The 25,943-nt window shown below is 36.3% G+C and overlaps 1 long non-coding RNA gene across 5 annotated transcripts in view; it reads left to right on the top strand.

The window, feature by feature from the left end:
* LOC105376065 (uncharacterized) overlaps positions 1–24,857 on the top strand; it is an 82,523-nt gene extending 57,666 nt beyond the window's left edge. For all 5 annotated transcript variants that reach the window (XR_007061516.1, XR_007061515.1, XR_007061518.1 and 2 more), the window contains exon 3: positions 711–24,857. This is a non-coding gene — a long non-coding RNA (uncharacterized LOC105376065). The remainder of the gene's footprint in view (positions 1–710) is intronic.
* The last annotated feature ends 1,086 nt before the right edge of the window (positions 24,858–25,943 follow it).

Here is a 25,943-nt window from a genome sequence, read left to right as displayed (position 1 = left end):
GAGGTATGCTATAAGATAGCATGATGCCTGTAGCACCCTGAGACATGATTGCTCATATTGCAGCCAAGAAAAATAGGAAAGGCTGAAGCAGCAAAGGGCAAAGGGGCAAAAGGCCAAAGCCATGCAGGCCAAGTTTGTGCTTTTTTAAAGGCTTTACCGGGAACCTATCTTATGATATCCATTTCAATGTCACAAAATTCACATGGCCACACTAAGAAACATGGATATTTTACTTTCCAAATAAAAAACTAGGAAGAGAAGTTTACATTTGCATAGCCTATCAATAGTGTCTGCCAAGATATTTCCATTTTTTAGTGTATCAGAAAATTGGGCACACATGACTAACATACTTTTTTCATTTTAAATAGAAACAAATGCGTGTGCATATATATATGTAAAATATACATATTTATATGTGTGAAAATATGTGTGCATGTATGTGTGTGTGTGTGTGTAAAACCAATCAACTTCTGCTGAAAAACTTCTGTAAAACTCATTTTTTTTTTTCCAGTATGTTTCCTCTGAAGACAATCTTCACATCTAGGGAATATTAATGGTAATAATAACAGCATTGATTTATTGAGAGTTTTCCTATGTAACAATTACTATACAAGTATGCCATTTAATCTATTTCTCTAGTTTCAATATTAATATTGGTACTTAATAAATGAGTAAACTGAAAATAATAAGTTTAAAATCTTTTTTCACAGCTAGTCAGCAATACAACTGGGATTTGATATCAGATTCATACGATTCCGAAGACCCTGACCACCAAATGCAAAAGGTACATGGCAACAGCTGATTGCAATGAGAGAAAAACAACTAATAAGGCAACAAGCAGGATACTAAGATATTTTCCAAAATGAATAGCACTGATTCTGTGAGGAATGAACATTGCCAAACAAGTGTTTTGTTTTGTTTTTCAACTCCTCTAAAAAAATTCACATATATGCATGCCACTTTCCTGAAAAATATCTGCCTCATAATTGCCATAAGAAACGGTATGGACAACTCTTAAACATTCTGAAAGTAGTCAGGGATGGGGGAAAGCATTTGCTGTTTTAGTCTGTTCCTGGTCTTATAACAAATACCACAAACTGGGTAATTTATGATTACAGAAATGTATTTCTGAAAGTTCAGGAGTTGGGAAGTTCAAGATTATGGCACCAACATATTCATTGTCTGATGAGGGCCTGTTTCATAGATGTCATTTTGCATGACTTAATCACATGGTAGGAAAAGCAAAGGGACAAAATGGACAAATGCCATGTTGTCACATGGCAGAAGAAATGGAAGAGCCAGGAAGCTCTCAGAAGCTTCCTTAATTAGGATATTAATCTCATTATGAGTGCACAGCCATCATGACTTAATTGCCTCCAAAGGCCCCACTTCCTCATCACTTTGAGGATTAAACTTAAACATGAATTTGGAGGAAATATATTCAAACTCTAGGACTAGTTTAAATGTAGCTAAAAAGGTTTCTTCATTCTGTAATCGTTAATATGCTAATATTTTTGTAAATATCCAAGAGGAAGCTAAAGCATATAATATTCCAAAATTTATTTCTGTTTGTGGATATTATGTTTTCCTCTCATTCTATCTTAAGAAATTAGTGTCCTCAAGAAACACTATATAGGATAATTGTCTTTCAAGTTCATCAACTACCGGTTCTTGATTCTTCAGTAGCTAATCCTAGATAGTAATACTTAACAGATTATAAAAACTTGGGTGCTGCTATATAAATGCGCTGAAACTCCCAGGGAACCAAACATAAGGACTTAAAGAGAGATGTAACTAGGGATCATAATCATGAATTTCAGCTGCTTCTCTATCTTTGTCAGTGAGCAAATGACCATACAAAATAAGGTATTCAATTATTAATTCTGTGCCCATATCCCGGAATTTTGCCCAATATATTTGTAAGTTTAGATAAATAAGGCACTAATGCCAGGGATATGTAGCATTAGTTCTGGGTTTATAAAGGGATATTCACAACCTCTTGCCATCCACAGAATTTATCAGCCCAAAGTAAACTATACTCGTTAGTTAAGGGCAACCTGAGACATGTTTAAAACTGAGGTGGACTGAAGAGTCAACTAATTGCGGGAATCTTTTATTTGGCTGAAATGTTCAAACAAGTCCCACTCTGAATTCTATTAGAAGTCCATCATTGGCTTCTCTCTCTTTCTCACTGTCTTAAATCATGTATTTTATAACACTATGAAGAATGAAGTTCAAAAGAATAAGCTAAATTTAATTAATTAAATTATTTATTTATTTATTTTGAGACAGAGTCTCACTCTGTCACCCAGGCCAGAGTTCAGTTGCACGATCTTGGCTCAGTGCATCCTTCACCTCCTGGGCTCAAGAGATCCTCCTGAAGCAGGGTATTTCCCTGACCCCTTCATGGGACTCGTGACAGGGGTGCCCCATTTACTCAGCCCACTGCTCTCAACTCCTCAAGGGAGGGAGTGCGCAATTGAACAAGGCAGGAACTGGAGTACACGAGTGTTGGAACCAGTGGCCTCTTTGGTGCCAGAAGGAGTGAACTCACCCACTCTGACCTGCTGTGTTCCACCTCTTGCAGGAGAGAGCATGCAGGTGAGCAGGTACAGGAGCCAGGAAGAGAGCTTTGGGGTGTTGGCAGGAGCAAACTCCATGTGGGCCCCATAGCAGCCCCTGGGGTTAGGGGGGTGCCTGTGATTCCTGAAGCCCCTGTGGGCATATTACAGTGCTCCTTTAGCTCTGCCGTCTTCAGACAGCTGAAGTGTTAGCAGCTCAGCATGCCTTTTTGTATCCACACTCACTCCTGAGCTCTTGTTTGGCATCCAGGAAAAAATCAGCTCACAGAAACGAATTGAAGGATGGTAAATGCAGAGGATTTTATTGCCAAGGAAAGTGGCTCTCAGCAGGAAGGGCAGCTGGGAAGGAGATGTAGCAGGAAGGTTTCTGGCTGGACTCTTCTCCAAAGTTGCACTGTCAAGCTGTCTCTCTGAAATCAAGCTGCTTCTCTCCAACGTCCAACCGTAGTCTCTGATGCCCAGCTGCTGCTTCTCTTTTGATGTTCAGCTGCTTCTCTTTTTTGCTAGCTGAGTCTGGGGTTTTTATGGGCACAGGATGGGGGACAGGGGAGGTCATGGGTAATTTTGTAAAAGGCAACATTTGAGTGGGAAAACAGGAATGTATGTTCTCACTTTGGGCTTTGGTTCCAGGCTTGAGGGTGGAGCCGTTGCCAGGGACCTGCCCTCTTTTGCCCAGAATTTCCCTGCCTCCCTTCCCTATCACTCCCACCCCATCACTCCCACCTCAACATCCTGAGTAGCTGGGATTATAGGCGCACACCACCGCATCTGATTAATATTTAAATTTTTTGTAGAGACAGGGTTTTGTCATGTTGCCCAGGCCGGTCTCAAACCCTGGGCTCAAGTGATTTGCCCACCTCAGCCTCCCAAAGTTCTGGGATTACAGGTGTGAGCCAGTGTGCCTGGCCCTAAATAATATTTATATGGGCATTTTGTAATTATTATTTTTTAATAATATAAATGTTTCCTTTTTAATATGAATTTTTCAAGAGTTTTATAATTGACTGATTATTCATTAAAATTTAATGAAGGACAGGAATTGGCTATTTTTCTGAATGACAAAAATTAGGAAATTTTTAGAGAGATGATGAATTTATCCTAGAATGTATGGAAAGAGTAAATCTTGTTATATAGAACAAGCAACTTTCCAATCCGAAGGATCTTAGAATAATAAAAATTTTTTTTCTTATAATTGTTTTCTTATAATTGTTTCAAAGTAATACTTTAGACCAAAAATTGTATATCTCAGTAGGTGGCCTATATGATAATTAAAAAATTAAAAGCTAAGTTAATTAAATTTTTAATTAATTTAATTTTTATTAATTTTAATTATCAATCTTCATTGAAGAATTTTGTCCAAAAAATGTGGACAATATGTGTCATAAGGATTAATCACCATAAAATAGTCCCCAAAGGAAATTAAAGGACTGATTAGATAGTACTAAAATAACAATCATACAAAGTAGAAAGTGGTGTTATAAGAGAAATGTAGATAAAATATTGTAAGAAACTAAAGTAGGAAGATAATGTTTTGAGTTGTGGGAGATCAGGGAAGGTTTTTTGGAAAAAGTAACGTTTAAGCTAGATCTTAGAGAGACATGACTTAATAGAAAAGTAGGCAAAAAAATATGAATAACCCTTTCAGATTACAGGCAATACAAATTATGATAAATATAAAAAAATTCTCACTTCACTAATAATCAAGTAATTGAATTAAACAATTGGATACCATTTTTTCTTCAGCAGACTGGCAAAACATAAGATGTTAACAAGGGTTTTGAGGGTACAGGGAAGAGGGTAGGCTCAAACTATGCTGGTATCAATGTAACCAAGATCTCCTTTGGAGTACAATTGTTATATAGTCTACATTCTGTAAAAACTAAACACATATGTTTGCCTTTCCACTTTTGGAAATACATGGTAGATAATCATGCAAGAATGTCAATTGCAGTATTGTGTTGTAATTTTTAAAAATACTCTAGATATTCATCAATATATAACTACAAATAAAAATAGTTGGACTATCATGCAGACTACAATGCCTCTATTGTGGCATAATAGTTAATAATACAATCTCTGAGAGCAGAATATCTGGATTTGAATAATTTGCTCTCCCTCCAAATGACCTTGAGCAAAGTACTTACAATCTTTTTCTCTCTTCCATAAAATGGAGATAACAGCATTGCCAATTTATTAGCATGTCATGATGATTAAATGAGATAATCCATATATCACACCAAGTACCCACTACGTAATAAGCAACTAATTAAATTTGACTAATATTAATAATTTCATTATTATTCATCTTAATATCATGGCATGACTTCTAAGGTATATTATTAAATAGAAAAAGAGAAGTTTTAAACTGAGCCATAGTTTAGAACTTGACTTAAAGCAGACTCACAAAGCAAATGCTCATATCTAGGACAGGTAAATCTACACGTGTTTATACACACATTCACTGTATTTGGGGAAAATACACACCAAACTGGAAACACTGGTTGTCTCTGAAGAAGAGACAGGGCTTTGGCAATATTCAAATTAGGCTTTAACTGTTTCTGAAAGTTTCAGTTCTCTATAAGGAGAAGGTGTTACTTATGTAATTTTTAAAAATTACATATTAAGTACTAAATGACTGAAGCTTCTTAGAATTGATGGGGGCAGGCATCACATGGGCAGCAAGGCATTCACATAATGGAGAATCATGGTCTCCTGTAGATGTCTAGGAGTGATAAAATTAACTACCTTTTAGGTGGTGTAGTTTCCTGGTTGAGCTGATAATTATTAAGTTAATGATTAGTAGGTTATTTCTCAACACCGAAGAGATTATTAGTGTTTCAAAGTTTTCACTGTAATTCATCTGTAAAACCATTCAACCTACTTCCAGTACACCTCAGTAATCTGGTGACAAGAGAGTATTCTTGCTCACTTTATTTACTCTTCAGTGATCTAATGCCAATAATGCCAGCCTATAGAAACAACAGCCAATTATAACAAAAAGCACATTAAAAAGTCAAATATAGCTGGGTAATAGACATAAAAATACCTTATTAACATTTTTATAACACTCTGAACTGAAATAAACAGACCACTCTCGATTTTAGCATCTGGTTCCAAACAATTCTTGTTTGGGTGATAACTTTTTAAAAACAAATGTTGGGCATCTTTCATCGACTTTTCATCAAGTAACAGCTGTTCCTTTAGAGCAAAATGTATGCATGTTGGAAGTGTGACTGATGCTCACTTCTGTTTTGTTCTGTGTGAGAAAGCTTTATGTTGGGTGCAATTCAGAAAACAAATGGTTTCAAATCTTTTGAATAGATGCCATAGCACAGTTTAAATGCAGCTTCTTGTGATTTTTAGAATAATTTCAGCCACAATTTTTACATTCAATTTATAACTATACTAAGACATTCTCCTTCAGAACAAAGGCATTTCTGTTTTCATGTGCTCTTGGGCATCTTCGGGTCATTCATTATATCAATCATTTATCTTCGTAAAGTGTTTGGCTATGAACAATTACTTACTACACCAAAGCATGAAAGAAATAGATACAGCTCATCTGCTCTTGAATGCATTTCTACAGATTCCCTTAGGATAATTCCTGTTTCAACTTAAGCTATTAAATTTTTTGCTGCATTCAAATCACCTCATCTGCTGAAACATGTGGAGACAAATAACCACAGACGTTTGCATGAAGGTTCAGGTGTATTTAAGGGCAGCTTAATTATAAGACACTATGAAATTCTCCTAATTAATTTGGAGCTAAATATTCTACATCAAATATTTTACAAAACTTAAAGAAATATTTACTTTTCACATGATTACGATTTTGATACTAGGTTAAAAATGACTTATACTGGCATTTTTTAAACAGTTTAAGACAAATAATGTTTTTGATACTGTTTATTATAACATATGAAAAGTCTTTATGCAGATATACTCTATTTTATCGTCTGTTCATTTCATGTTGCATTTGCATGCACTCCTGAATTACTTGTTACTAAAACATACAGAACAAACAGAAAGTTAAAATTGGTTAATTTCTATCTAATCTGGATAAGATAAACACAATGAGTGAAATAAATCATTATGTCAAATAACAAAAACCTCATGCATAGAAACTTCAACATTTCTGAATAACAAAAAGTATAACATTATGTAGGGCAATGTTCCACTTTTGTATCAACTAGAAATAAGCCCTGAATCTGAATGATGAAATTTTAATAGTAACTGTTGACCACAGGGCAGAGTTTACTCTCTTGGTCAGATGCTTTTGTGAATGACACAAACTGTGTGTCCAGATCACTTTTCCCTATAATCACTTCAAATTACTTGACTTTTTGATCTCTTCCTTTTTTCTGTCTCTTTTTTGTCCACAACAGATATTCCAAATATCCACCGAGTTTTCAAATACTCCAGTCCATATTTGGTCTTCCCATTCCTAGCAGAAGTACTTTGTCTTCTACTTCCCAGAATAATGTTAATTCTCTTATTTTAGACTTGCTTGCTTTAATTTGTATTTATTCTTGGCTTTTTTTCTTTCCATCTCACAGGATAAGAGGGCATCTCTTCTTCCATATTCATAAATACGTTGCCAACAGGAATTTGTTGTTATTTACACTTTCTTCTCCTAGACATTTTAATTTTACTTACCTTCCCTGAGCACATGGCAAAGTCAAAACACAAGCAGAATCTTACTTATGAATAGAGGCAGATTTATTAAGCCAGGGGTAGGCAAACTATAGCCAATGAGCCAAAGCCAGGCTGCCACGGGTTTTTATAAATAAAATTTTATAGGAACTCAGCCACAGACATTCCTTTACATATTGCCTACAGCTGCTTAAGCACTACAAAGGCAAAGTTGCATATTTACAACACAAATAATATGGCCTGCAAGCCTAAAGTATCTACTATCGTGCCCTTTATAGAAAATGTTTATCAGCTTTTGTTCTCTTATCCTAAGTTATGAGGCTTACATTTCCGGCCACCTCATTTGCATTTGAGTTTCCAGTTTTGAGTTTGTAGTTTTGTATTCTTGCTTAAAGAGCCCCAAACCCTGACCGCCAAATTGAATGTGCTGTAGATCCCACAAAATATGGATCCAATCAAGCTGATGCCATGTCATTATCTGTAGCTTTTATTCTTTGCCATCACACACCTTCCTTGAACAGTTAGGCTTCTGCAAAAAATCTTAAATAATCACTGATATGGGTTGGTTCTGTGTCTTCACCCAAATCTCATCTTGTAGCTCCCATAATTTCCACGTGTTATGGGAAGGATCCAGTGGGAGATGTCTGAATCATGAGGGCACGTATGTCCCATGCTGTTCCCATGATAGTGAATGGATCTCACGAGATCTGATGGTGTTAAAAATGGGAGTTTCTCCACACAATCTCTTTTTTGCCTGCTGCCATCCATGTAAGATGTAGCTTACTCCTTGCCTTCCACCATGATTATGATGCCTCTCCAGCCATGTGGAACTGTAAGTCCAACAAACCACTTTCTTTCGTAAATTGCCCAGTTGCAGGTATGTTTTTATCAGCAGCATGAAAATGAACTAATACAGTAAATTGTTACCAGTAGAGTGGGGTGCTGGTGGAAACATATCCAAAAATATGGAAGCGACATTGGAACTGGGTAACAAGCAGAGGTTGGAACAGTTTGGAGGACTCAGAAGAAGACAGGAAAATGTGGCCAAGTTTGGAACTTCCTAGAGACTTGCTGAATGGCTTTGAACAAAATGCTGACAGTGATATGGACAATGAAATCCAGGCTGAAGTGGTCTCAGCTGGTGATAAGGAACTTGTTGGGAACCGGAGTAAAGGTGAATCTTGCTACATTTTAGCAAAGACACTGGTGGCATTTTGCCCGGCCCTATAGATTTGTAGAACTTTGAACTTGAGAGAGATGATTTAGGGTATCTGGCAGAAGAAATTTCTAAGCAGGAAAGCACTTAAAATGTGAATTCGGTGCTGTTGAGGGCATTCAGTTTTATAAGGGAAGCAGAGCATAAAAATTTGGAAAATTTGCAGCCTGACAATGCAATAGAAAAGAAAATCCCATTTTCTGAGGAGAAATCCAAGCCAACTATGGACATTTGCATAAGATAATGGGGAAAATGTCTCCAGGGCATGTCAAAGGTGGAGACCTTAGCCTCTCCCATCACAGGCACAGAGACCTAGGAGGAAGAAGTGGTTTTGTGGGCTGGGCCCAGGGTTCCTTTGCTGTGTGCAGCCTAGGGACTTCATCCCCTGCATCACAGCAACTCTAGCTATGGCTGAAAGGGGACAACATAGAGCTCAGGCTATGGCTTCAGAGGGTGCAAGCCCCAAGCTTTGGCATCTCCCATGTGGTGTTGAGCCTACGAGTGCACAGAAGTCAAGAATTGAGGTTTGGGAACCTCTGCCTAGATTTCAGAAGATGTATGGAAACGCCTGAATGCCGAGGCAGGAGTTTGCCACATGGGTGGGGTCCTCATGGAGAACCTCTGCTAGGGCAGTGCAGAAGGAAAATGTGGGGAGGGAGCCCCCACACAGAATCCCTACTGGGGCACCACCTAGTGGAGCTGTGAGAAGAGGGCCACCGTCTTCCAGACCCCAGAAGTGTAGATCCACTGACAGCTTGCACTGTGTGCATGGAAAAGCTGCAGACACTTAACACCAGCCCATGAAGGCAGCCAGGAGGGAGACTGTACCCGGCAGAGCCAGAGGGGTGGAACTGCCCAAGACCATGGGTATCCACCTCTTGCCTCAGCGTGACCTAGATGTGAGACATGGAGTCAAAGGAGCTTTAGATTTGACTGCCCTTCTGGATTTCAGAATTGCATGGGGCTTGTAGCCTCTTTGTTTTGGCCAATTTCTCCCATTTGCAATGGCTGCGTTTACCCAATCCCTGTACCCCTGTAACCCCATTGTATCTAGGAAATAACTAACTTGATTTTGATTTTACAGGGTCATAGGTGGAAGGGACTTGCCTTGTCTCAGATGAAACTTTGGACTGTGGACTTTTGAGTTAATGCTAAAAAGAGTTGACATTTTGGGGGACTGTTGGGAAGGCATGACTGGTTTTGAAACATGCAGATATGAGATTTGGGAGGGGCTGGAGTGAAATGACATGGTTTGGCTCTGTGTCCCCATCCAAATCTCATCTTCTAGCTCCCATAATTTCTGTATGTAGTGGGAGGGACCTGATGGGAGAAGACTGAATCATGGGGGCAGGTCTTTCCCATGCTGTTCTCATAATAGTGAATGGGTCTCACAAGATCTAGTGGTGTTAAAAACAGGATTTTCTCTGCACAAGCTCTTTTTTTGCCTGCTGCCACCCACATAAGATGTGTCTTGCTCCTTTTTGCCATGATTGTGAGTCCTCCCCAGCCATGTGGAACTGTATGTCCAATAAACCATTTTCTTTTGTAAGTTGTCCAGTCATGGGTATGTCTTTATCAGCAGTGTTAAAATGGACTAATACAATCACTCTATCAAATGAGATAATATTTATTCCTTTACCACTGACAACTCTCTCTCGGCTCTTCTATTCAATCATGTTACTGATAGACGCTTTGCTTTTTGTTTTTGTTGTTTAACCTGATTGTTATAGCTTATTTTATGAATTTCTGTTCTTCTTTTAATTTTACAACAATTTTACTATTTCTCCTTACATGTTTATAAGTCATATGGAGACTCCTTCTCATCTACCCTGACCCCAGAATATTAAAACTTTTCAGAGTTTCAGGATTAATTCCATTATATGGACATGATTCCTTGAGATAGGAAAAACTGATTGGATTGTGACATTAGACTTATCAGAATCTAAGATCTTACAAAATATAAAGCTTTACTAGTAATTTCACGAACTCAGGTAATCATTAGGCATGGGCAAATCAGAGAATTATTTAGATCTCTTAATCTGATTCTTTAGATCCTTGGTTCTGTCATTAGATACTCCCTTGCCCAGGCAGATAGATGAGACTTCTAGAGAGGTATGCCGACAATTTATTTACATGGAGATACCTGGCTCAATTATCAAATATCTTAATTTTTATGCAGATAGTTACATATGTGGTATATGTGACATTTTCCAGGGAGCCCCATAAATCCACAACCTTCTACTTTGTTAACCATAAGCAATTCTAAACGACCAAGTACATTCTGCTAAAAGCATTTCTGTGATAGATAATCACTCTCCTGCCAGCAAAAAAACAAATTGTTTGTCAGGAGCTGTCATTAGTATGTTTATATAAGCAAAATGGGCTTCCTTCCTTCTGTGGATCCTGGCAGGGCATCTCAGTAATCAGAAAGAATCAAAGACCCTTTCCTTCCCAATCTGCTCTGGCCTTGGTCAACATCTTAGTGCCAAATATTGCTGGTGTATTATCATTATTGGCTTACACCATTTTCTGCAGTGTTTCACTTAAGCCAACTAATACTCTGACCTTGATTTGAACCATCCAACAGAGAGTAGGAATTCCCTCCACAAAGCATGTTACTCATTAACATCTTCCTTTACAAGTCTCTTGATGTTCATTCACAAACTCAATTACCTTTTACCTCCATCAACCTCAATTATTTGCATCATTTTCCATGGGCCTATGGGAGTATTTAATTGAATACATATTTTTTCTTCTCAAATCAAATTTTCTGAAAAAAATTTGTTTCTATGAACTGTATTTTAGGTATATTCCAGGTTGGTACAAACACTAATTTTCAGGGGTCATTATGTCAAAGAGCCCATCCACACCCCATGGCCTACATATGTCAAAGGATTGTTCTTTATTCATCCACTTTCTATGAATTCCACACACGGGAGATAAACTTCTTTTTCATCCATATTACCAGGGTTGTCAGGGAGCAACACTGAAGGTCACAGTGTTCAGTGAAACCTTGCCGTAACTTAGACTAAACACGTTTTTCCCATAATTTTACTTCTTCAAATTCTTTCTTTCTTTTTCTTTCTTTCTCTTTCTTTCTTTTCCTTTCTTTCTTTCTTTCTTTCTTTCTTTCTTTCTTTCTTTCTTTCTTTCTTTCTTTTTCTTTCTTTCTTTCTCTTTCTTTCTCTCTTTCTCCTTTTCTTTCTCTCTCTCTCTCTCTCTTTTTCTTTCTTTTTCTTTCTTTTTTTTTTTTTTTGACAGGGTTTCACTCTTGTCACCTGGCTGGAGTGCAGTGGCACAATCTCGGCTCATTGCAACCTTCACCTCACAGGTTCAAGCAATTCTCCTGCCTTAGCCTCCCGAGTAGCTGGGATTACAAGCACCTGCCACCATGCCTGGCTAATTTTGTATTTTTAGTAGAGACGGGGTTTCGCCATATTGACCAGGCTTGTCTTGAACTCCTGACCTCAGGTGATCCACACTCCTCAGCCTACCTAAGTGCTGGGATTTTACAAGTGTGAGCCACTGCGCCCGACGTTGAGCTTGTTTCTTTATGAATTCCTGCAACTCAACATTAAAGACATAATATCCCATAGTGATTAATATATCCAATAGTCCTTCCTGACTAAAGGTACAAAGTTAATCCTAGTGTTGTTAATAAGCATGGAAGTCATTATTTATTCAGTGTCTTCAGTTCAAGCATTGTCTTAAACCAAACTGATTTCCTACTACAACTGAGTCCTCTAAAAACAGCTTCCTCTAGTGTCCCTATTTGAAGTAGCAAGTCATTTTTATCATAATGATGGGCCTCCTAGAACACTACTTCGATTAGATTTAATATCACATGACCAAATCCTGTAATTCTTTCAAAATGCCTGGCAAAGGGTCCAGTGCTGCTTAACTTGCCACTCATGTAGTTCATATTATGTGCTAATTAAATGTGTCTAGTTTGAAAGCATTGTCTACACCTACAAATAATGTGCTTCATGAAATTCTCAATTAGGTATATCCTAGCACCAGATACCGTTTTATCTGGCTGTGCCATAGGCTTCCCTTAAATGTCCTCTACGTACCTCTTGAGGGAGTTATTTATAATTTTAAAGCATTAAAGCAAACATAAAATCACATTCTCTGAGGCTTTCTAGGTTCTAGTTTTATATTATTTAAATTAATTCCATTTACATTCACACTGATATGTTCAAAGCAACAGACCAGATCAAGCTGTGACATACCAGACAGGCAGCCACTATCTGCTTTCTATCATAACCAGGGAGCTGTCTTAGCAATGTATCATTTTGATTTATGGCCATATAGGGTGCAGAAATTCTATTCTACAGCATCCTCTGCTCTGTACAATTCATTGGTAGTTTCTCTGGAAAAAAATAATCTAGAATGGTAAACAAAGCCTAGAAACTGAGTGATAACTGTAGTCAACTACACACAAGCTGAGTTGTCAGGGGGCACTTTGTCATCTGTTTTATTCAAATTATACAGGTAGAACATCCAAATCAGTAGGAGTCCAATTTTCCTTTTCTGCAGTAAGCAGGCCAAGAGATTTTCACCAACAAAGCCCATTTGTTTGGATGACAATAGCAAAAGATAGTTAAGTATGATATCCTCACTCTGAGCTGTTTGCATGAAAATATTGTAGTGGCTTCCCTCCACGGTAATGTAATCTACTTATAAACACCTTTCCCATCTGCTATGATTTTACCCTATTTCCAAATGCTTCCTCCCAATATCAGGCTGTATAACTCATCATGCATAATGTTTGCCCGCACAATCAATAACAAGAACCTTACTAGCACACCCAAACAAATGTTTGGGTTTTATTTGTTTGTTTGTTTAACTTTTATTTTAAGTTCATGGGTACATGTGCAGATTTGTTACACAGGTAAACTTGTGTCATGGGGTTTGTTGTCAAACAAATGTTATAAGTGACAGACAAAGGACCTCAGAAGTCTCTCCTCTGCTTGATAATGGAGCTACCTTCACCTTTAGCCCTAATTGGTTACATAGGAAGGAACTTTTGATCCACCACAAATTACCTTTCAGAAAAGGCACAGTCAAATTAAATGACACAAATATCATGTCTTGGGTATTGTATAATCTTCCTCTGGTGCAAGTAAATTTAAAACTGGGTTTGAGACCGCCATTAGAGGCCAAATAAAAGTATTAGAGGTGGGAAAGATATAAAGTTATATATTATTGCATTCTCCTTCACTCCCTCATTACTACCTCTTGATATTAGTAAGGCACAGTGGATTTTGTTATTTATTTCTCATATTAGTCTCAGGACGCAATGGTTTCACTAAATGAACCCTTAATAATTTTTGAGCAAGGGGCCTTGCTTTTCATTTTTCACTGGGTTACAGAAGTTATGTAGCTGGTCCTTCCTGTTGACATTGGCTGTGTCATTCAGTGCAACAGCATGTGTCTTTCAAATGGATTATAGCAAACAGCTGCCACAGGCATATTTTGAGTCAAAATCCTAAGGAGTCTAAATTGGTGGTCTCATTTAACTTTTCCTAAAGGGCTCTAGTTTGGGTATGCCCTAATATCATCTGACCAGTTGGATGGGATCATAAGGGCCTAATGTTATTGCCTGTGCTACCACCTACCACAATACTTTTCATGCTTATTTCTGTTCAGTACCTGCAGTGAGTTAAGTAGTGCTCTTCTGAAATTATTATTCATTCAGAATCTCAGAAGGTGACCTTCTTTAGAAATTTGCACATATAATTAGTTAAGATGAGCTCCTACTAGATTAAGGAGGGTCCTAATTCCAATGACTGGAGGTGTTTTTATAAGAAGAGAGGACACATGGAGAAGAGATTGAAAATGAAAGCAGAAATTGGAGTAATAAATCTATAAGTAATAAAGCTCCAAAAATTTGTAGGAGAGAGTAGAACCTAGGCAGGGGCAAGAAAAGATTTTTTTCTGTGGCTTTTCAAGGAAGCGTGACCCTATTGACTCCTTGGCTTCAGACTTCTAGCCTCCAGAACTGTGAAATAATAAATTTCAGTTGTTTTAAGCTACCCAGTCTGTGGTAATTTGTTCCAGCAGCCCTAGGAAAGTACTACAATGCTGTATTCACGTTCTGAACTCTTTCCAGTTATTTTGTGAGTATGGGTAGACAAGATTCTTAGAACAGTCTTGACAGTCTCTGAGTTTATTGCTTATTGGTGGGTCCTATGAAAGATAAATTACTTCTCACAGTTTAAGGAATGTCCTAAGTTGATCTGCACTAATTTATAGGATTTAGTTGGAGTTTAAGGAATGTCCTAAGTTGATCTGTACTAATTTCCAGGAATTAATTTGCACCTTGGGCTGTGCCTTAAATTCTAGCTGGATTTATCAGCCAGCTTCTATTTGTAATATGGGTGACTATGGTCCTTAACTCCTCTCCTAATTTTTGCTCTGAGAAGAAAATTATCATCATACCATGAAAGTAGTAGATGAACTCTATCTTTTAGGTTATTCTTTACCAGATTATGGAAATGTGATAATGAATTTTTTTTAAATCCATGATAAGACAGTAAACATATACTTGTTTCTATTCTGCAAAGCTTAAAATCTTCCTACTTGAAATTAACAAAAAAAAAACTCTTAGGAGGCCCCTGAGATTGGTTTAATGCTCTGTTGTAGCTATCTGGAAATTCTTAATAATTTTTGAGTAAGTATCCATGCATTTTCATTTTATACTCAGCTCTATGAATTATGTAGTTAATCTTGATAACATATCAGAGCCTCTTGTCTACTTTATTTTCTGTACATTCTTCATCATATCAGGTACAGATGAAGCATGCAAATGAACCACCTTGATACTCTACTGTAAATGTCCAGGGGCTACCTACTTATTGACCAGTTAGAACTACAAAAAGGAAGTTAATGTGGGGAGGGGAACTTCCTTCTGAACCATTTTCTTAATTACAACAGTAGTCTCTTATTGCGCCCTTGGAATTCTGCATTGCTTAATATTTACTACTGTGGAGAGCTTGAGCAATTCCAAAGGATCCCATTTGGCATAGCTGATTAAAATTTGGTGAAGAGTGAGCTCAGTCTTCATCCTCTGTGGAAACACAAAGACGACAATGTCCCATTCATATTGAATGACAATTGCAATTTTGTATTTATGTAAAGGTAGCACAAGCAGGTAATATTCTCTCCAACCACACATTTCAACCTGTAACTTCATCTTTACCTTGGTTTCCTCCCTGATGTTCTCTTCATGCACTCCAGATTTCACTTAGAGCATGTATGAGACTCTTTCCTACCTTCCATAAGGCCTACTGTAAATTCTGCTCTACATCCTACCAATGATAAGAAACTTTGAATACCACCCCAGGTAACTTTGTTCAAATTATATATATGGCCTCAGATCCAGACCTCAGTTCTTTATTTAATTGTTTTCAGATTCTACGGCTTTAATTAAGGCAGTAAACCCAGCCCCCTGTTCAAGTATGTTCTGTTCTATATCACTATCCTCATAATTGGATTTGAACTCTTTCAGCCACAATAAATAAAGCAAATTTTCTATGATTCTTTAAGGGATTGGTGGGGGCTACAGTACTCCTCTCCTCTGATTCAAAAGTTGATAATGTGCTTTTATTTTCTTATTAAAAATTCTATCAAGGCTTACTTTTTAAATCCTATTTATATTTTCTTCAAAAGTAAATTAATTCAAGTGAGCTGCCTTTCTATTTTCTCTTCTGATTTTTAATTTCTCCCTGTTGTGCACATGATATAAATGCTTTTTCTCCATATAATCCCATGTATAGTAACTAAACCTGTATGTTTGTTACTGTTCTCTGAATATATATATTTGGCCCTCAAGGTTATATAAGTCTTGTAAGACAGAGAATCATTAGCTTATCCCATTCACTCTATCTCTTATTATTTGTATCAATAGCATTAACTAAGGTGTTTTCTCTCTGGAAAATATAAAGCCTGTCAACATTTACACTTGTATCATTCCTATCATGTGAAAAGGAGAATCCAATTGGCAATTTGGAGAGGAGTAGTAGCAGTTACCCTTCTCAGTATAGGACTGACAAATCTCACCTTAACAACTGCAGCCGATATGCTGTCACAGTATTTGGAAGTGTTTTCTCAAAAGTTTACAGCCATTTAATGATTAGCCATGACCATGAATAGTCCTTTGCATCAGATAATAATAGAATTGCAACATGTCCTCCATCATTAATTTGAAGAATCCATGCCAATGTTAATTCACCAGTCTTCTGTTAGTGAATACTCTGTTCTTTAATAAAATATAGTTTTCACTCATCACCTGTCCTTGGACTCCGGTTACATAAATAGTTTGTCCAATAATCAATATTTTGAGTCATTTCTAAGGATACATGAAATTTCTCCAAGAAACCAGGGAGGGATAAGAAGGTTTTCCAGTGAATAAAATGTAATCTCGCAGCTTTTTCTCCCACTATCATCTCCTCCTATTAAAAACTAACCTATTAAAAGGTTAGCTTTTACAAGTATGCTAGCAGGAGTCAGTCAATGGGATTTGTACCCAATTTCCCTTTGTCCATGTACTCCCTAGACCCGTACTCCCAGACTGTAGTCTATGGCCCCCAGATTTCAATGGTAAGACTTATTTCCCTTAACCTGCCTCAAAGATTCCACTACCTCATACCAAAAATGTACAGCCAACTATCCTGAGAACAAATTCTCATATTTTTCCATTATTTCCTTTTGAAAAGGAGCCCAGGTAGAAAAAGAAAACATTCACTATTTTGGTGTGTGGGTCTAAAAGACAATCCTGCTCTCAGTGCCAATCTGAACCCACAAAAAGCATTGAATTGTCAAATCGGACTCAGATTGAAGATTTTGCTCAGTATCATGCTTTCTGAATAATTTCAAAGATAAAATAATCATGTATGGGTTAAGTGGGGAGAGACCTGTGTCCTTTCATCTTCATTGAATGTGGTCTCATCCAAGTTTCTAGATTTGGTTTCTAAGTAAAATGTACAGTTGCTTTACTTACTCAGGTGTATTCTCAGTTACAAACCATCTCCTTTTATACTTAGATAGCAACACAGCTAACGTGACATTTTCTTGGGAATCATCACCCTACATTTATTGATTCCTGGCTTATTTTTCTTAAGCAATTTTAGACAACTCCTCATGGTCTGCTAGAAACATTTTATGAGGAATGATTCTTTGGCTACCAAAAACTATTTAGTTTATTTTCTAAGAGACTTGCATTAATATGTTTGCAGAAAAATTAAACCAGAACACCTGACTTCTTTATTTCCCAGGAGTTTTCCTCCACACCTGCCCCCATCAGGGGAGAAAATTGATCAGGAGGTACCACCCCTTTCCACACCATTCTTGAATCTATTCTACAGAACTCTCTCACATGGTCTAGCAATATGTTTAAGGTAGAACCCTTTTTCTATCAATATTTCTTATGTGTTAAATTTGCATTATTATATGTTGACTAGAAATTATATATTCCTTCTTAAACATTAATCATAATGAATCTAAAAACCTAATTTATTTCAACCAATAAATTTCTCTTTAATTCCTGTCCTCAACATTCTTGTCCTCAATATTCCTATTGTTACTGTTACAGTTATGAAATCATCTTAATGAAATCACAGCTAGACCAGTGCATTAATTTAAAACAATAGCATCCTTTTTCTATAATTTAACTTCTTCCAACTTTTCTTCGCTGTTGTATAATGATAATTACTCTAAAATGACAATCTGATCATTAAAACTTTAATCATTTACTCTCTGCCAATTTCATAAATAAATATTTGATTCACAGTTGTTATTTCTTCTTCAAGATACATCAAATAATCCACCTTTATGAAAAGCAATTTACTGTTTCATAAATGTGCTTTATTATGTCACATATTCAGTCTTTTAAACATTTTGTGCCATCCTTGGTCATCAAATAAATTTCTATCTACTAAATATGACTGACTTAGCAAAACGATAGCCTTAGTTTCATGCATGTCTCCATCAATTTTGGAATTGCTTTTATGCCCAAACTGCAGTGGGAGAAAAACACACAACAAAATTGTGTTGATTGTTATCTCTTTAAAACCACAACCTTGAAAAGCAAATGTGCCTTTAAGGCGGCCAAACAAGCCCATTTTTCTTTTGTTAGCCATTGCCTTCTTCCTCTTATGTAAGATTAACTTATGGATTCTTTCCTCATTTCACACCCCTCACATACTTTTCTTCAATCTCAATGCCAGCTGATGACCTTGTTTCCTGTGTCAAAAAATAAATACATAGATAGATAAATAACAATGAAGAGGAAATGTATGCAGACTCCCACTACTACATATACTTAACGCCAGTATCTAAAATTACACACTACTCATCCTGCATATTAATAGAGCAGGGTCTTTTCTCTGGTACTATGGACAAACTGAGCCAGATAATTCTATGTTTGGGATGGGGTGTTGGAAAGGTTGCCTTGTATGTTGCAGGATGTTTAGCAACATCCCTGGCCTCTCCAATTCGATGCTAGTAGTAACTCCATTCACAAGTTGTGACAACAGAAAACATCTCCAAACATTGCCAATTGGCTCCTTGCAGAGTGAAATCTCTCCTTAAAGAAAACCACTGCCAGAAATGAAATGTTTATACACCTACCTCAAGCTTACACCTTTACTTGTTCATCAACTCTTTCTGACTACACAGGCTATAGACAGATACTTTTCAATACTTACCCCTCTTATACATAATCAAATTTTCCTCATTATTGGGTCATTTCATGATCATACAAATAAGCTATTACTTCTGTCATACTAGAAAATAAAAGCAAATAAGCAACCAGTATTCTTCATTTTCCCCATTTTCATTGTCAGATACCACCAGGGAATTTGATCCCTTTTTCACCAAAACTCTTTAAAAGGATAATTTATAGTCACCGTGTCATTTGCTCCCTGCATTTTCTCTTTAATCATTTCATTTCCATACAGATTTTTGCCCCCCACTACTCTAATTAAACCTGTCCTCCACTTTGTTAATCTTATAGTTATTTTTCTCACCTTACTTGATTTATCAGCAGCATTTGAAGTAGATTATTCTCATAATACTATCTTCATTTGACTCCCTGGTTTTATATTATTTGTATACTTCTCTCTCTCTCTGTCTCCCTCTCTCTCTCTCTCTTTTAGTGTTTTCTTCTATTCCTCAGACTCAATGTTGGAATGCTCCAGGCCTCAGTATTTTATTTCCCCCCACCATCATCTTTCTCTGTACTTCTTTCCTTGGTTATCTCATCCAATCTCGTGGTTTTACATGCAGTGTAAATGCTAATGACTCCCAAATTTATATTTCCATGCCATATCTCTATCCCAAATTCCACACGCATAAATCCAATTGCATTTTTTACACTTCCACCTGAATGTCGTGATGATAATGGGTCTATTTTTCCTGAGACCCATTCCTCACTCTGCCCAGTTCAGTTCATAAGACAGAGGGGATGAACACTGTGGATTATGTAGCTCAGATTTTCTGAAAGCTGGCTTCCAGTTAGGCTCAAACAATAGGAGACACATGTAGAAAGATGAAAGGCAGGAACAAGGAGAAATCTAGATATTGTCTCATTTTCTCCCTGTCATCCCTAATAACAGTTACATTTTTTCCAGGCTCCTGCTCCTTTACATAGGCCCACTGTGGTTCCAGCTTCCCCCAAATATCCCTCCCTGCAGCTCCAGTAGTACAGCCTCCTATCCCTGTTCTCCAAGGGAAGGTGATAGTAGCCTCCCATTGTTGCTAAATTGTAGGTTGCCTCACTGTCCCCTGGTTGGCTTTAATTTTTTTAAAGTTATTTCTACCATCAATTACCTGTATCAATTCCCTTTGTTTTAAATTCTCAATGATTTCAGTTTTCCTGGCTAGTTTCTGATTACTTCAGATACCTAATGGAAATCTCAAAGAAAGTATGACTCAAGAGAAATTGTTGATTTCCATCTCCCAGCTACTACCAAACCTGTTTATGCTTATCCATTTCATTTGATGGCAAGTCCTTCCTCTGGTTGCTTAAACTCAAAGACTTTATAATATGTAGAATCAACTACTTCTCACCATGTCTACTGAGGTGTGAATTACTACTGTTTTCCTCTTGGATAAAGTCAATATCTAAAGAGGGGACTTTTCCTAAAAGTGTCCTCTTACAGTCAGTTACCAACACAATATCCACAGTCATCCTTTTTACATAAAAGAGCGTGTCACTTCTCTTCTTAGGACCTGTAGTGACCCTCTCTTTCATTGATGGTAAAATTCTAAGGCAGTGTGAGTTTTAAAATACCCTGTAAATATGTACAATTATTATGTCATTTAAATATAATATATATTTTTAAAAATTAAAAACGTATATCAAGGCCCAAATTACTTCTGTGTGCTCATCGTTAACTCCCCTTCCTCACTCATCTCCAGCCACACTGGTTTCCTTGAACCCCTTCAAACAAGCCAGATATGGGGCTGTCTTGGGCTTTTGCACCGTCTTTTCCCTCTGCCTGGGTTCCCTTCCTTCAGATATCTACATGTTTAATCCCTCACCACCTTTAAATTTTTGCATAAATGCTATCTTTTCAATGATGTTTTCTACGGCCTCCCTACTTAGCATCTCAACCTGTTTCTTGGACCAGCATTAGAAAATGAATATAGAGAGATGAACACAATATATATGGCCCTGCCCTCATAGTCCTAGCAATCTACAGGGACACAAAATAATATGCAAAAAAGTATTTGAATTATCTTCAGCACCTTTCTAAAGAAAAAAAGCTACTTAAAACTTACACTTAGAAGTGCTCAATATGAGTCAATACATTATGTCACCACCTAAAGTAACAAGATGTTAGGCTGCAACTGCTGTATGTTTTGAATGAGACTCATTACACTACAAAGTCACATACTTGTTTAATATTATAATAAGACAGAACTAAATTTAAATCATAGTTATACCAAACACTAGCTACTCTGAATCTCTACATCTCAATGTTCTCACCAGCAAAATCAAGCTAATAATAATACTAGCTTCTTAAAGTTATTTAAAAGATAAATGAGCTAAGATATGTAATGCTCATAGCCCATTTAGAAAGGCAAAATATAAGGTACAGTACATAGAAACCACTGACCATTGGTAATTCTGAAACACTACAGGTCAGACAGTTTGAATGAACCATATACTAAAGGTTGGAAAAGTTATTTGATTAAACTCTGCCTTTTTTTTTTCTGGGAAGAACACATAGATTAATCACTTTGTATAATCCCAACCTCTCCCTTCTTGGGAGTGGAGATAGGGGAAACAGTTTTCATCATCTATGATCTTAAGTTTCCTCATGCTCTTTCTCATCGTTAAGACAATACCACTTATTTTAGCTTATTGTTACAATAGTATTTCATTTTTTTCTAACAACTTGGTATTAGTCAAGATGGGATATAATAACAAATGACTCTTGAAATCTTCATGGGTGCCATGGGAAGTTTCAAGAACACAACTTGAAAGTGAATTGCATGACTTTGTTCTGTATTTCATTGACCACTAACTCATTCAGTGAGCCTGAAAGTAACTGTGTATATCACTGTTAGTATACTATGCATGCCAGATACCCAAGACTCAAACTTTTCCTTTCCTTTAGATACCACCTACTTAGTCATCAATTTTGGTTCAACCTACTCCACTAAATAGCTTTGACTTCCATTCACTTACCACTTTAGATTAGTGCTATAGACTCCTATTTTACCTCCTTCATATCAATCCCCTTAAAACTCCCAATAGCTTCCATTGTTTCAAACAAAAGCTCAAATTCCTTTAATGTAAAGTGTTATATGAACTGGCACCCTATATACTTTATATCCTAATCTCTCATCTTTCATTTATTTCTTTAACTCCTGACTCATGTAACAAAAATGTATTTATCTCAGCACGTATTTGATCCCTTATTTGTTATGCTCTCCCAAATGTCCCTGTATTTTTCATTGAATAGTAATTGCCACATTTTATTTTATATGCTTGTGTTACCATTTATATATATATTTTCTACAGACTCTGCTTTTAGAAGGCATACACTGGCCAGGCGCAGTGGCTCACACCTGTAATCCCAGCACTTTGGGAGGCTGAGGCTGGCGGATCATGAGGTCAGGAGATCGAGACCATCCTGGCTAACACGGTGAAACTCCATCTCTACTAAAAATACAAAAAATAAGCCGGGCGTGGTGGCGGGCGCCTGTAGTCCCAGCTATTCGGGAGACTGAAGCAGGAGAATGGTGTGAACCCAGGAGGCGGAGCTTGCAGTGAGCCGAGATCGTGCCACTGCACTCTAGCCTGGGCGACAGAGTGAGAATCTGTCTCAAAAAAAAAAAAAAAAAAAAAGGCATACACTGTGATATTTGCAACATCAAACAAACAAACAAAAAAACTAAAATTGGAAGAATACCCAAAAATAACTCAAAGGAATAATTTTAGTTTCAATTAATTGATTATGGCCTTTATCATTTCAAGATTTTTATATGTCTACTTTTATGAACTCTAGGCTAGTTTTTTCCACTTTTATTTCTACAATCATAGGGCCTATTTTATATTTTCTCTTGCACTTGATTATAGAAGAGATTGAAATGAGTTAGGAAACATGTACTTGAAACCAATAATGGGCACACTTTACAGGATTCCAAAATCTAAAAATATCATAACATAACTTCAGGGAAGAGTAAGAAGTATTGGTGTCATTTTTTTCCTTTTAGTAGATTAGTTGAAGAGGTAAATTGAACATGGACTATGTGTCAGACTTTTTTTTCCAAATTATATTCTTAAATATATAGTAAAACATATGCTAGAGACAGTTTTTTAATAACAAACAATATTTGAATTGAGATCCTGAAGAAAAATAAATTAACTGTGTAAAAATGTATTACTAAATATCTGCATTTTCTAGAGATGTATCCTTAAGTATGTAGGTATAAAATTACACTCTGAGATATATTTTTAAAATAATTTGGCAAGAAGAGAACAGGGATACCTTAAGCAGAAACAACAAAATTATGATAATTGTTGAATATGTGTGATGGTTGTATGTTAATGTATTGATTATTTTGTGTGGGTATGAAAACATGATAATAAAATCAAATTACAAAAAAATAAAAAATACCTCTTGCTTTTTTAGCAGCTTATTACATTGTTTATAACAGTGTCTACAGCGCTATGATTGGTCAGAGCCAGAGACTATAACATTTAATAAAACGAGTCCTCTAGAAGCTCATGGGAGTTCATTTACGGCAGCGAAGACCTATATTAAATGGACTGAATATTTAAGGAGTAATTATGTTGAGTAATGTGTTTATTTATAGTTTTAATTATACATTATCTTTTTTGGTTATCTTTAAAATATATTAAGCTTATGCAAATAGGATATGCGTCATAACCCAGGATCTATTATCTGAATTGCTTATATACTTATAATAACATAACTTTAAAAGAAAGAATCAAACCATATTGCTAGCTTACAGGTTGGATCTTTCTAGACAATAGTTATTTACCTGAATGTTTATTTTTGTTTTGCATCTTCATCAGTTAAAACCAACAGTTACAATACAAATGAAAGTTAAAAAATAATAATATTATTAATGTGAAATTTCAATGTGCTTAGCAATAAATAATGGGAATAAGAATTATCCAGGATGTACTAAATGCTACAAGAATTATATAAGTCTAATGAACATGATGCTTTTGAACTTAAGTAAATTCTATGTGCTTAACTATTTTTATTGTTTATAGATTTAGGACTTCTGAATGCATTATTTTTGCTGTTATGGGATATTATGAATTCACCTTAGTAGACTTTTGCTTACAGGACATAAAATTAATTTATTCTATGAATTTTTTCTTCTTTTCCTAAAAATGTGTAAGTTCTGTGATTTCTTGGACTAAAAGATATCTATTTACATAGTGAAAGGCCAGGCCTTGTAAAGATCGTGACAGTATTCAATCCTATTCTTGTTTTTTTGTTTCAACGTGTTGCTAGTTATCTTATCTCAGTGTATTGTATTTATATAACTGCATATTTGATTGAGATACCTAACCTATGAGACATATTAACATAATGAACACATGTAAGCACACAACCCAATTTAAGCATAAGAACAGTATCAATAATTTTGCAGTTATCTTTCACTCTTTTTCAGTCACACAGAGACAACTATACTCTTAATTTTGTGTTTAGAGTCCTCTATTTTCTTAATAGACAGATTGCACATGGTTAAAGGTCTATCTTTACATCAAGAGAGCCTGTGTTTGGATCTTGTTCACCCCGCTTATGTCTCTTTTGAAGTTATGCTTAAGCTTTATCCCTTGTTCCTTTATGGAAATTTGAGTATTTTAGGAAAAGTAAAAAAAAAAAAAAAAAAAAGAAAGAAACTTTAAAGTAGAATGATAAAATCTAGTGTTTTTAGATACAGAAGTGAGAAGCTGAATACGGGTAAAGCATGATGGACTATGGGAAGAACGGAATTTCTTGTGTGTGACTGCTCATTCAATAAGCTATATTTTTAAAGACCTGAACAGGTTATAGCTATTGGTTATCTACAAGTGGAATTCTCAAACACGAAAATGAAAGCCTGACAAATAAGATGCTAATGCCATTTTCACTTAAAAAATAGAACAAGCGAAAGAGAGAAATAAAAGCACTAGCCCAGTAAGAACATCCTCTATTTGCCTTACTCATAAGCCATTTCAGGGCCATATCTGCAAAACTAGGAAGAAACTGCTAAGTGCTAAAACATTTTAACCAATCACTTTAAGAAAGGCAGAGGAAGCAAATCACTCTAGTAGATAAAACAGGAGAGACTGAAGTTGCTATAGTTGTAATCTTTTTAAAAATAATCTATTTGTTTTGAAGAAAATCCCAATAGGAAGGTGTCTTCATTTTTAAAGGTATCTCTCTTCAGATACTATTTAATATTCAATGTGCTAATAATGTCAAAAATTGTTAAATGCATATATATCTGTATTTCAAATAGGATAGTTTATCAAGTCAGGTTTTCCAAGAAGCTGATACTATGCAATTATAAGTCACTCAAAAGGTTATGAGAGGAACGTTAGATAAAGATTAAGAAGAAAAAGCAGATCTAAGTGCAGGGAGTCTTCAGTGATGCAAGCCTGGCTTCTGTCAAAGGAGGGGGAGAAGGAAGAAGGATGAGAATGAAAGAGTCACAGCCTGAAACACAGTTTAGGAAGTTTTGGCCCGGACAATAGGAGTCTCCAGTCCAAAGTCTTCTGTTGGAAGGTTATCACAAATCTTAAAAATGGCCTTCATCAATACTCCGAGCATGCTCAGTCATTGGCCAGGAACAGCCAGAGAAAATATGGTCTGAGTGCAAAGATAGTCATACAACCAGAAAAACAGTAGCTGGGGCTGCCTGTCATCCATGCTCACTGAAGCAAGAGTTGTGAGTGGTGACCACATATATCAAATATTTCTATGAAAAAAACAAAACAAAACAAAACCCAA

This window comes from Homo sapiens, chromosome 9, assembly GCF_000001405.40.
Source record: "Homo sapiens chromosome 9, GRCh38.p14 Primary Assembly".
In the NCBI taxonomy this organism is placed as follows: domain Eukaryota; kingdom Metazoa; phylum Chordata; class Mammalia; order Primates; family Hominidae; genus Homo; species Homo sapiens.
The sequence above is the reverse complement of the archived record's forward strand: the minus strand, read 5'-3'. Positions and strand labels throughout refer to the sequence as shown.